The sequence below is a fragment of the Homo sapiens genome, chromosome 3 (genome assembly GCF_000001405.40).
Source record: "Homo sapiens chromosome 3, GRCh38.p14 Primary Assembly".
NCBI classification, from domain to species: domain Eukaryota; kingdom Metazoa; phylum Chordata; class Mammalia; order Primates; family Hominidae; genus Homo; species Homo sapiens.
The window spans coordinates 71,123,712-71,136,705 of record NC_000003.12 but is presented as its reverse complement, the minus strand read 5'-3'; the positions used below and the strand labels follow the sequence as shown (position 1 = coordinate 71,136,705).

At 39.5% G+C, this 12,994-nt stretch overlaps 1 protein-coding gene across 16 annotated transcripts in view, besides 1 other annotated feature; it reads left to right on the top strand.

Annotated features, from left to right (window-relative positions):
• Positions 1 to 12,994, top strand: part of FOXP1 (forkhead box P1) — a 629,271-nt gene that overhangs the window by 447,273 nt on the left and 169,004 nt on the right. For 3 of the 16 annotated variants that reach the window (NM_001349337.2, NM_001370548.1, NM_001244815.2), the window contains exon 1: positions 6,120 to 6,208. The exons of 11 other annotated variants lie outside the window; for them this stretch is intronic. The gene's annotated coding sequence lies outside the window, so the exon portion shown is untranslated. Of the gene's footprint in view, positions 1 to 4,508; positions 4,616 to 6,119; positions 6,209 to 12,994 lie in introns of those variants that run through there. 2 more of the 16 variants (NM_001349343.3, NM_001349342.3) reach the window with 1 other exon arrangement.
• Positions 6,239 to 6,981: an enhancer, noted in NCBI's record as "OCT4-NANOG-H3K27ac hESC enhancer chr3:71178876-71179618 (GRCh37/hg19 assembly coordinates)". NCBI's record gives its function as "activates a minimal SCP1, AML or CMV promoter by ChIP-STARR-seq in primed H9 embryonic stem cells {active_cell/tissue: H9 hESC(primed)}" and the evidence as "EXISTENCE:reporter gene assay evidence [ECO:0000049][PMID:30033119]".

The window sequence follows — 12,994 nt, the reverse complement described above, 5'->3', positions numbered from 1 at the left end:
AGTCAAGGAGAAAACAGCAAAAAACAGTTGTTGATGGACTTAGCACAGAACTGGATTAAATAAGCATTAGTCTACTGAAGCTGATTACAGGAATATGAAAATGCAGTATCTTAATGGTACATATTTTTATGTGGCAGCTCAGTTGCCTTTCATTTTGCAGCTAATATGTCTATTCTTATGAGTCATTTACTTCTTTAATTACCTTTTGCAGGCAAGGCACCATGGTATATTAATGTGAATGATTTTTACTGCCAGTTTATCATACAATGCCCCAGAAGTTGAAAGGCGTAATTGACTTGGAAGAACAGCTCATGAAGGAAACAATATTTAGTTGACAGTTTTCCTTGTACTCTCTGTTGACGTTTATGAGTTTACACTATGCTAAAGGAGTAATAAACACAATTTTCTTTCAATAACAGGAAAGGGTAGCTTCTAAAATACATTTGTGGAAAACACATTTGTTCATTTCTTGAATAATATGAAAATAACACATTTCCAGTGATAAGACTTCTCAGATTGCCAATTGAATTAAACCTTCAAAGGTGCATTTATAACCTGTCTCAGAGCATTAGGAGATATTAGGGTTCATGTGATTGAATCTACTTAATGAATATTTAAATTATAAACAGATTTAGATAAATCATATTTAACTCTGGGTGTTAGGGTGAGACAATTTGGTCCTGCGCTCCCAACTTCCAGGAGAAGGAAAGGCAGAACGGGAGCTTGGGGATTGGGAACTGTCTGAAGGAAGATTTTCTTTCTCCAAAGGGAGGGAAAGTCTGACAGTACATTTTGGAAAAGTAAAGAAGGCATAGTCGATGCAACTCCTTATATGGCCTGGCCCTTGAAGAGTTAAATAAAGATTTGGGTGGGTCGCTGCCGTTTTGGAGCCTGGAAAGGTGCTTTGACTTGACTTGGGCAGTGTTATTTTAACCATCACTTCCACAGTCCCCTTGGCCTTAAGCTGGTTCACTGGCTCTGGGCAGGCCCTGGTTTGGCACATTGGTTCAGAGGGAGTTAAACTTTTCACAGTTTTCTGGGTTGTTTGCAGTTCAGTCCTGTGCAACATAATGAAAGTTTTCTAGCCATCTGTTGTTAAGCTGGCGGTGAACAAGGCCAGTATATCCAAACAAAGTTCTGGCCTGCTGTAAACTGAACCTGTCAGTTTAGCATAGCTTTGCTGACCCCTCCAAGGAACAGGGCAGCCCTCGGTACCAGGCACTCACCGCTTAGAACTTTCAAAGGGGAACTATTTTGGGAGTAGGGGGTAGGGGCCTGTTTACTTTTTTCCTCTGTGTTCCTCTCACTGGCTTGGACTGGTTTATACTTAATCTTTACATGTACAAATGGATATTGGTCTCCCCTCCTTTTGGTCCCCCCTCCTTTTTCAGAGGGAAGGACATTTCTTCTTAATAGGGGATTATAACTTTTTTTTTTTTTTTTTTTTTTTGAGACGGAGGCTCACTGTTGCCGGGCTGAAGTGCAGTGGTGCGATCTTGGCTCACTGCAACCTCCACCTCCTGGGTTCAAGCAATTCTCCTGCCTTAGCCTCCCGAGCAGCTGGGACAACAGGCACGCATCACCGCGCCCAGCTAATTTTTGTATTTTTGGTAGAGATGGGGTTTCACCGTGTTGGCCAGGATGGTCTCGATCTCTTTTGACCTCGTGATCCGCCCACCTCGGCCTCCCAAAGTGCTGGGATTACAGGCGTGAGCCACCGTGCCTGGCCGGGGATTATAACTTTTAGAAGAAGGTAGGATTGTCTAGAAATGTATGTGAGGTGGCTGTGATTCAAAGGGAAGTTCTATGCAGTTATTTTTGTTTCATTATTTTGTCTTTCAGTGTTGGGGGGTACAAATAGTCCAGGAAAAGAAGTGCCTATATTTATTACTTAGCTTATATAGTTAAAGTTTTCATAGCTTTAAGAGGGCTTTTCCCCCCTTTCTGCTGCATTTTGTATTTCATCATCAGAAGTTAATATACAGCATAACTTGGCAGAGCAGCAGTTAGACAATACTCCCAGCTGTATGGGCTATTTCGTGCTTCTCTGTTCTCATTTACAAGGTGTATCTTTGGCTTTAATTGCCCAGCTTAACCTTAAAATAATTCCATTGTTTCGCTGTATTTTTTCCTACTGTAGTATATGTTTCATTTTCATTTTCTGTTTGGCAGTATTTCCTTGGCTATATATGAAATGCTCCTATACATTTGGATCCTTGAGCTATCTGTCTATCTACCTACCTACCTATCTCAATACCTATCTAACACTTCCCCTAATCTTTGTGGGTTTCCTTTTGTTAATGATACCTTGGAGGTGCTGCTGTATTTTTCTCTTGGCCTTGCTATCATGTATTTCTTGTCCAGCCTTGGTTACATTTGTGCCCTGTTAAGAGAGGGCCCTGGGGAGCCATCATTAAACCTTGGTGTCCATTCGAAATTGTAAAAATATCAAGGAGAATAGCCACCGTTTTTGAATAATTATTTTGGCTGCTCTAACGGCCACCTTAGTCTGTCTAGGTAGAAGCAGACCACAGTCCCACACAGCAACAAAGAAACAAGATACTGAAAGCCTTTAGACAAATGTCTGAAGCACCAGTGTGAGCGGGTTTGGGCTCAACTTCAGCTGCAATCAAGAAATGGACAAGGGTCAAGAATTCCATAAATGGGGGTGGGGACAGAATAGGCAAAGGAATAAACAAGGAGACACCCAAGCCTTCCCGTTTAAGGGACAAGGAGTATTACAGCTGTGAAAAATATTCAATTTAAAATTTAAATGAATGCACTTACTAGGAAATACTATAGAGTCATAATCTGTTTGTGAGGTGACTGACATATAAAGTGTTTTTTTGTTTTAAAGTGAAAAAAAAACATCACACACACACATATTCGGGGTAGACTTTCGGGTATAAAATGTCAGGTGCAATGTAACGTGTACTCAACTCCAAGAGTCAAGCAAATAACCTTGGTATTTAGGATGTTGCCTTTTAGAACATGAAATTGTATTTTGTTGTGTGTCCTTTTTTTTTTTATTTAGAGGAGGACTACATTAAGAGGTCACCTATTAGCTGTGTTTTTGCTGTCTTAAACTCAGCCCTTCTGTCTATTAAAATCAAACCACTGTGTAAACATTCCGTGTTGTTCTTGGTCTCTACAATGGCCACGGGGATCAGGTTTCACCTGCCTGCACATCTTCAAGCAATTACAGCAATTAGCGTGAAGCCATTTCACATTCAAGGATTCAAGGTCTATGGTGACATTCAAGTCCAGGAGAAGTCTGAAAGGGAGAGGAGGAAGAGGCCCAGAGCGAGACGACTATTCCATGGCCCTGAGCAGACAATTTCTCTTTTAAAAATGGTGGCCCTTTAATGATGTTATTATGAGGTTTTTAAATGACATATCAAAAGTTGTTTATATCACAAAAACCCAACAGTCATTTAATTATACTAATGAAGGTCTTTATACGTGTCAGATTTTTTAAAAAAGACTTCTAATGGCCATGAGAAATGGACTGTTGCTGCTGCTTGCATCACAGCAGTGGTGGCAGCATTCTTTGTAGAGGAAGAACATATTTTATAATGTATAAGGGAATTTGCATTTCGCTTTTCACGGCAAACCTTTCTGTGTTTTTTGTAAATCTAACAATTGCAACAACATGGAATATTTAGTTGGGAGATGTTTGGAGTAAGTGTTGAAAGCAACTATGTTTGCTTGCTTTTTTTTTTTTATGGTTAGAGAACAACTGTGGCGACTTTCACAGATTGAACTAGTACAGTTCAAAGGAAAATCATCGACTTTAGCACATCTGATAGCTATATAGGCATGGCAGAGGTGTCTTGAAAAAACACTCTTAGGATCCAGTAGGGCTTTGGCTTTGTTTGTTTGTGTTGTTTTTTGCATTTGTAACTTAGTTACCCAGGACTCGTTTGCACAAGGCAAATGCTAAACTGATTACAGCTTTTAAAAATTGGTTTGTACATTTTTTAATCCATATTTTAATGTTGGTTTATTATGCAAAAAAAGAGGGGCACTAATTTTAAAAATCCAAGCGTGCTGCAAAAGAAGATCTTGCTTTGCAGTCCCAGAGGGTGCTTGCAATCAGGAATAACCGCAGGCTAAATTATAATGTGGAATTCTGTTGCCCTTTAACCTGATGCTGCCTGTTCACATTCAGTGTTTGTTAACAAACAGCTTTAAGAACAAAATTGTTGGGAGAATTACTATTTGATTGTATGCACTGACTTTATTGAAAATAAGAGGCTTTATTTTTTTTAATTGCATGTCTCTGAGAAAGTTGTGATAATTCCTTTACAGAACTGCCCTAGTTGGCTTAAAAGCTACTAGGTGTTAAGCAGTTACATATCTGTAGGACAGAACACATCTATTTGTGTGACTGAGGCTGGAACATTTGTGTTCATTCCATAACTAGCCATTTTAGGGAACTGGACTGCTTAGAGCTCTCTAGCCCCATCTCGAACTACTTATAGCTCTTCTGTTGAGAGATGGTTTTCCTGACCGCCCACTTTCATGGCGCCCAGGCTGTGTGCCTTTTGATACTGCAACGCAGAGCAGCTGCAGGGGATGCTAATAAAATGCAGGATTTTGGACACTGAGCAAGGTAAGAGTCTGCCTTTTTCTCCTGCCCCTTGAAAAGGGATTGCTAGGAAATCATTTCCTGGTCTCTAACTGGACCAGCTGAGTTAGAGAGGAACATTTGCATTGGATACTCCACCCCTCCCCAAAGTGGAGAAGGCAGGCGTGGAAGCACTGTGAGACTCAGAAGGGAGATGAGGCAGTAAACCAGATCTTTCCCATTTTTTCCCCCAGCCTAGTCTTCTGTTTCTATGATCTGCCTTTTGAACTGTTTTTGTGGCTGATCAGTTCCACCTAATATGTCTCTTGATTTCTGCTATTGTAATACTCAGGCGACATGCTGTTCTCTTCATTTTTATAAGCTTTAGATGCTTCTGCCTGTCATTTTCTGGCGGTTTATCTTCAGCGTCTGGATTTGCTTTCAGACTTGAATGTCTATCAAGCTGCCGTTGCTTTGAATGTGAGATCAAAAGAAGATGAATTCCAGTAAAAAATTTCCTTCTATGAAGAAAAGATTGGGGCCTATGTAAACATCCCACTGACAGCTCCCAATGAGTTATTTTAGCCGAGTATTAGCACCTGGATGACAGACAGTCCAGCATTCCATGCTAAATAACAAATCAGTAGCTTCTGTGGCAGAAGAACATTGCCACAAGAGCAATACATTTTCAGAAGGAATCCTTTTCTTCCTCCTTTTTTTTTTTTTTTTTTTGTTATTGAATATGGCTGTTCAACTCTTCCTCCTGTTTTTCAAGCTGACTTGCTGTGCCTTCAGCAGTTTACTTTTCTTCACAGTATTTGCTGAATTACTCCGGTGACGGAAGACAGGACTGTGACAATCATTTTGGGGCGGGTTAAGGAGTGTTCCATTAGGCAAGCTAGGCATCTGGAGATAAACAGGTAGTTTGGTTGATGGTGGAGAAAGAAAATGTAAAGGACAGCCAGTCAAAGCCAGATCCAGGGCATATCCCTGGAATACGGGACGATGTGTTCTTTAAAAATACATGTGACAAAATCCTCTAAAGTCTGCAAAATCTGAATTTTCTTCTTCTTCTTTTTTTTTTCTTTTAAAGCATCCTGCCTATGTAAATGTCACCACAAAAATATCTCAAGAGCAGGTTTCCCGAAACCCTGTTGGTGTGTATTTGTCTGCGTGAATGAGCTGTGTTTGGCTAGGGCTTGGTCTAGCCAGGGCGCACTGCGTGTGCTGTGTCGCTGCTTGCAGACCTGGAGCGGTTTAGATATGTGTGGCATTAATAGATTTCTTTAAGTGCTAAATGCAACTTTGAAAATTACCTGCAAGCTCCAACTGATCTTTCAACTTTGAAAGTGAAGAATTACTTGAGGAATTCTTGTGGTTTCTTTGTCATTTAGTGAGAGCCCAGCCAGCTACTGTGGAGGCAAACCTCCCTGAGGTTGCCTACAAAGGGCAATGTTCCAGTGTGTTTTCTCTTCGAGTGTGCTTCAGCCGCACAGTACTTCCTGTTTATTCAAACATCTTTTTTACCACTCGGCAACCCCCGCTTCGCAGAAACAGCCAGAACCCATCTACAGCAAGAAGACGGAAATCCAAAGGCAGACAGTACGGGCTCCCTTCGCCAAACTCTTCATTTTCTCTGTAAGTGTCCAGAGAAAAAGAAACATTTTTTTGCTGGGTTAAACTTTTAAACTAGGGATCCGTTCTTGTGCAGACATTCTCTGAAGGGCGAAATAAGGTGATCCAACTTGTTTACTGCTTTTTTTCCTCCCCCTTCCCTCCTCTCTCCATCAGAGGCTTTTTTCTTTTTAGAGATTTGAGAGGACCGTTTCCTTCTAACTCCTTGTTTAATTCACTCTTGTTTTCAAATATGTCTTTGGATATAATCAGCTAAGTAAGCAGCCGGGTGGTGTCAGGATAGTTTTATAGGCTAAACGTAGATTGGAACCTCTCTCTGCTTACTGTGACATTGTTTCGTGTTGCCTTCTTTTTCTTCCTGTTATCACAAGTAGTAAGAGAATGTGGGGATGGTGCCTTTGTAATTCTGCATCTACAGAATTGTCCCCTGATGTTTGCATCACGACACCGTCATCATTTGTGAATCGGTCTTGGTAATATTTGTACCAATTTCATGCCAATAAAAGTCAGACTGCTGAAACACGCACGGTCATTATCTCATTCATATTCCTATTGTTTCAACGGAGTGGGCTGCAGAGGGAAAGGGAAAGCCTGCCTCACTTTCCGTGATGGTTGTTAACTTTGATGTTGGAAGGCTCTTTTCAAAATTTTCCTTGTGGATAATCAGTATAGCAGGAAAAGCCCTTGGACTTGGGCTGCCTCCTGGCTCTGAGTAGAAGAGCAATCTAACGGCTCTCTTAGTCCTTTCTGTTGAAATGACTTTTTAAACACATGATTTGACATTTTTGAAAAAGGTTCCACCTTTTCCTGTCTGTAGTCACTCCTTTTGCCTCTCTCCCCTCCCTCCACACCCCCCTTCCCTGACCCCCAACTTCAGTTTAATTGGTAAGCCAGGTGTTAATATTTCTTTTTTAACTATATGGTGGTCAGGGAATAGACAGGAAATGGAAAATAAGCTCTTTTGATCTTAAGAGAATTGTTATTACTGTGAACCTCGTTTGCTAGTCCGCAGTCTAAATATTTTTAAATTTTAGTATCTAAAACAGCATCTATTAGAATAGAGAAAGAAATATGCTCTGGGGTTGTCCAAACCTCTCATAGAAGAAACATTTAGATACATAAAATAATTGTATGTATGTGTGTGTGCATGTGTGTGTATTGCTATCGCTATGGTGGCTTTTTTGAATGTTCAGAAGTTGTTCTCTTTTGCAAGAAAAAATAAGATGTTTGCGACTGCCTTAAGGACAATTTGTTTAACAGTAGGAGTAATTGCAGGGAAAATGGAAAGAGTGACTGAAGGTATTTACTCAGATGTTAGTGTAGGTGTGGGGGCCGAAAACTCAGTGTGGGAACAGTGGGCTGCTTTTCTTGGTATCTTAGTCTATTTGATGACCATCAAATTTCCCAGCTCGCTCGTTTTGTTTTTTCTGGATGGCATGTTTGATTATTTATCAGAAGGGGAAGGGAGTAGCTGAAGCAAATAAACATGTGACCAAGTTCTGTTTTGTTTTCCACTCCGAAAGCCATGCCCTTTAACAGATATACAGAAAATAATAAATGCATTGTCTTATGATAAAAGGAAATTATATGTGTCTTTTTTTTTTTAAGGCAAGTGAGTTAACCCTTAAGGCTCAGGAGGCTTTTTGCCTTCTGAGAATTTGCCAGGCTTTTTATTGAGAATTAGCCTATTGCAACTAATGGTTTTATGGGACAGGATTTCCCAGGATTACTTGGTTCATTAATTTAGCTTTTTCTAGACAGTTCACTTAGGAATGTCTGCCTCAGTAGTTCGACTGTGTGGTGTATGTGTGTGTGTTTTAAATAATAATACCATTGGACAAACCAGTGACTCTTACCGTTTTGTCGAAGGCTATATTCTGATGTTTAAAGCTAAACATGAATAGCTCAACTAAAGGAAAGTATACCATAGTGTCTGTGGCTAGGGTACAACGTAATTTATCAGAGGCCAACATTTTGCCCCTCTCTTTAAAGATGTTAGGCAGGTGCTGTAATACAGAGAGTCTACTTATATGTCTGTGTCCCTCAGAAATACCTTCTAGTCTTTAATATTATGTAACCCATTTCATTATCTTCAAGGCTGTCATTATCTCAAATTGATTCCTCCAGAGGCCAAGGGAAAGGCTCAAATCTATATTAAATTTAGATTTAAAATTTGCGTTTTTTTTTTTTTTAGTTCTCAAGTGGGGTTTGCATGGCTTTGTGAAATCATTCTTAATATGTAGGCATTCACTGATATATGTGCGCATACTGGCACATTCTTTAAATACCGGAACATGATTTTCTGTAGGGGCTTCCTTACTTCTCCACATCCTGAAGAAGTGATGTGCGTGATTCTAGCACAGTGCCTGGCCCAGTCGTATCAAGACCTATAAATCACAACTGAAAATCTGTTTCATTGCCTATACTGTTTTGGAATGTGAATTGAAAATATGCACACAGAAGGGATTCCCTCTTCCTTGACTATATAAGGGAACGGTGCAGCAGAGGCTCAGATACAGTGCAACTTTCATGAGTATTGCCCTGCAGATAACTAGGAGGTTGCTTTGCCCTTGAGAAGACAAGGATGGAAGCAGTGGCCTTTCCGCCTCTCTCCAAAAGGCAGTTGGGTTGGATAATCATACTTTGTATTTATACGGAGCCCTTTGTCTGTAGAAATCAAAGTGCCTGACTAATGCTAACTTGTTAATACTCAGAACACCCCAGGGACATAGGTAGGCTGCAAAGATTATCCCAGTTTTGAGGTGGGAAAATGTCCTGTTGTTAAAATCATTTACAATTTCCGGGTGTGTCTGTATTTAATGCTCAGGCTAGACCTGGAAGCGCTGTGATCTAGAGATCATGAGAAGCATTTTTTCCTGTGACATAGTCAGCCCTGACCACAGGCAGTCTCATGAGAAAGTGTTTTACCATGAAGAAACTGGCCTGGAAAATATAGCTAGTGCATGATGTTGATGGTTGGGGGAGGGAGGAGGTGGTGAAGACTAATCGTTCTTTATTTTAATCTATTTAGGGTCAAAGGATGTATTTTTTTTAAAGATACAGCATGGGCTGAAACTTCTGATTTTTGTTTTGTTTCTCTTTAACTCAATATGATGTTGGCAATTTAACTTCCACAAAAATCAAGTCAAGTTTGTTCTTTGTGAAGAAACAGATACAGTACTGCTTATGGGCGCTGCAAAGTTAAGTCAGCGGTTGCTCTGTAGTTTCATGCTTTGGGGGCAAAAGAATTGAAACCTGCTGTTAACCTGGTATGGTACTGTGTGATTCTTCAATTCTGGAGTGCCGTGGGCCTCCTTCCTGGGTTTCTAAAGCACAGTGTAAAAATTAGACAAGTGCCATTTACTGTTCAGACTCCTTCGTTGAAAGCTTTTCCAGAAAACTCCACAGTAGGGTGGAGGTGCCTGGGTTGTTTGGCTCCTGAAGCTGTTTGTTTGTTGGAACCTGAATATAGAAATTAGATTTGAAAAAAAAATCTCTACTCAAAATGTGCTTTTAATTTCAAAATGTAATTTTCAAAAGACCATACAAAATGATTCCAGTTTTTGCTTAAGAAATATTCTTTTCTTTTTTCTTCTTTCTTTTTTTTTTTGTTTTTGTTTTTTTTTTTTGTTTGTTTTTTTTTTTCTTTTTGGTTTGTTTGTTTCGTTTTTTTCTTTGAGACAGAGTCTTGCTCTGTAACCCAGTCTGGGGTACAGTGGTGCTATCTCAGCCGACTGCAGCCTCCATCTCACGGGTTCAAGGGATTCTCATGCATCGTCCTCCTAAGTAGCTGGGACTACAGGTGTGCACCATCACACCTGGCTAATTTTTGTATTTTTAGTAGAGACGGAGTTTTGCCATGTTGCCTGGGCTGGTCTCCAACTCCTGGGCTCAAGCGGTCTCCCTGCCTCGGCCTCCCAAAGTGCTGGGATTACAGGCGTGAGCCACAGTGCTTGGCCCAAGAAAATTTCTTTTCTTTTCTTTTTATTTTTATTTATTTGATTATTTTTTTGAGACAGAGTCTCACTCTGTGGCCCAGGCTAGAGTACAGTAGTGTCATCTCGGCTCACTGCAAGCTCTGCCTTCCGGGTTCACGCCATTCTCTGGCCCTAGCCTCCAGAGTAGCTGGGACTACAGGCGCCTGCCACCACGCCTGGCTAATTTTTTTTTTTGTATTTTTAATAGAGACGGGGTTTCGCTGTGTTAGCCAGTATGGTCTCGATCTCCTGACCTGGTGATCCGCCCGCCTTGGCCTCCCAAATTGCTGGGATTACAGGTGTGAGCCACCACGCCCGGCCAAAAATTTCTTTTCTTAATCATATCCCCAAATGCTGACAATGTGTCATTGCAGGTGATGGTGTCATATTTTTTATTTTTCTCCCAATTCATGTATACATTTTACATATCTTCTACCATGAAGTTATTACTTTCATAATCTATAGTTATACAGCACTTTTCAAAATCACTTGTTACTTATTGAGTGTGAGGCTCTAGACTATGCACTTTACATGTATCAATTTGACATAGGTACTTTCAGTTCCTCCCATTCTTATTGAAGAAGAAACTAAGACACAGAGAGGTTAAGTAACTTGTCTCAGGTCACACAGCTAGCGAATGGTAGAATTGGGCTTCAAATCCAGACACAGTGATTGGTGTGCATTCAACCACTATGTATGCTGCTTCTGTGGACATACATTAATGTTTTTCAAAGCAAACTTCTATTTCTTTGTAATTTCTGTTATTCTCTCAGGGTCAGTAATTCCCCCATATTCCCAGAGAATCCTTACTTCTTCATGCCTGGAGACTCAAGTTCCATCTTATGCTAAACCATGGTTACTGGAAGTTCAAAAGATCATTGTCACTTTTTGAGCACAACTCTGTGAGCACAACTGTGTATCAGATGACCAAAGTTTTTTTCAGATTCCCTCTTAAAGAGTTACTAATTCCTCAACCAAACCAATCAAATCTGTATTTCTTTGCCTCCATAAGATGTAATCTTTCTAAAGTTCATTACAAAGTTACCTTTTTGTGTGGTTTAGATTAACCGAATATATTTTTCTATACGTGTCTAATTTTTTTTAATCGGTCATGTCAAGCAAGTAGTTCTAGTTCCAGGTGAATGGAAGAACTCCAAATCCATACGTCTATGGATTAGTGGACTTTTTGTGTGTATGTCGTTCTTGAATACAGTGAAGGGATTCTATCCAGGCTGCGTGACCTTGACCACATTACATAAACTTTCTGTTTATATAAAGTAATTTAGAACCAATCGTAGTTGGGATTCAGTGTTAGTTACCATTTTCTTCATTGATAGTATCACCACCAGTATCATCATCTCCCCCTAGCTCAATATTTGGCCTCTTAGGCAGCCATTCCTGCATTGAGAATTGGCAAGGCATGGGTGAATGTTTGGTAAGAGTCAGAGTCATAGTTGCTCAAGTACATTTGCCATTGGAAAGAGCCAGGATTCTCACCTGCATGTCATCTGTGTAACTGCAGATAAACCATGTACCCCTCTTGTCCTCAGTTTGCTTTTTGTACAATTAAAGTTGACTGCCTTAGATCCCTTTGGGTTCAAGAGAGGATGCTGCAACTTTTCTTAGTGTTTCTGTAAAGAGGACGACCAATGGTTTGAGATCACTGGGAGAAAGGAATCTTTGCTTTCCATTGAGAAAATATATTCTCTTATGCCTGGGGGCAGTGTGTTATAGATATAATAATAGTTTTAGTTTCCATTTACTGAATAACTATCATGTTTCAGGTGCTGTGCTAAGGACTTTACCTACACATGTCACATAATCTTTATAATTTATCCTCTCTGGTCTTATGTTTCTCTTTTTTTTTTCTTTTTTTTTTTGACACACAGTTTATGATCTACAAGTTAAAGTAACCACAAACATAATATGTGCACCACACACTTGCATACATCATGCTGTATTATAAGTATCAATTGTAATAGTGATATTTGAAACATTTTTCTATAGGCTTTGCATAATAAGTAACAAATATTTTGGAGTAGGTAAAATAATTTAACTATTGTAGTTATTTTACATACTTTAAACAATGTATTTATAGTAAACAATTGTGGTGTTTTTATTTGGGGATTTTTTAAATATTCTTTTTTCCAAGAATTGTCCAGTATTTTTTTCTCTCCAGAGAGGAAAAAAAAAAATTGTAAGCATATGACTGCTCAAAAGGCAAAAACTGAGAAAGGCCCAACCTGAAAAGAAATTTTTTTCAGGTTGGGCCTGTCAAACGACTATGCAGGTACACACAAATAGAAATGACTTTGTTTTAAAATATTTGTGAAAAACTAGATAATAGACATAATGGAGTCCCTCTGTATCATTTTTTTTTTAAAAAAATATAACTTTAACTTTTATTTTAAATTCATGGGTACATGTGCAGATTTGTTACCTGGGTATGTTGCATGATGCTGAGTTTGGGGATATCCCGACACCCAGGTACCGAGCATAGTACCCAATAGTTAATTTTTTCACCCTTGTCGCCCTCCCTGTCTCTCTCCCTCATCTGTTAACTGGGTATAATTTACCTCAAAGCATTGTGAAAAAATAAATAATATAATGGGTTTGCACTGTTTAGTACTTGTCTGGCAATAAACACTAAAAACATTACAATTTTTAATTATCTTCCTTATCCCCAATGACCAGGGACCAGGGCAGGTTTAATAACACAGTAATTTAGCACCCATACCACCTCCACCAAAAAAAGAAGAAGAAGAATGTATTTATAGCAGAGTGCAAGAGTCTACAGTGGCTTAAAAAAAGA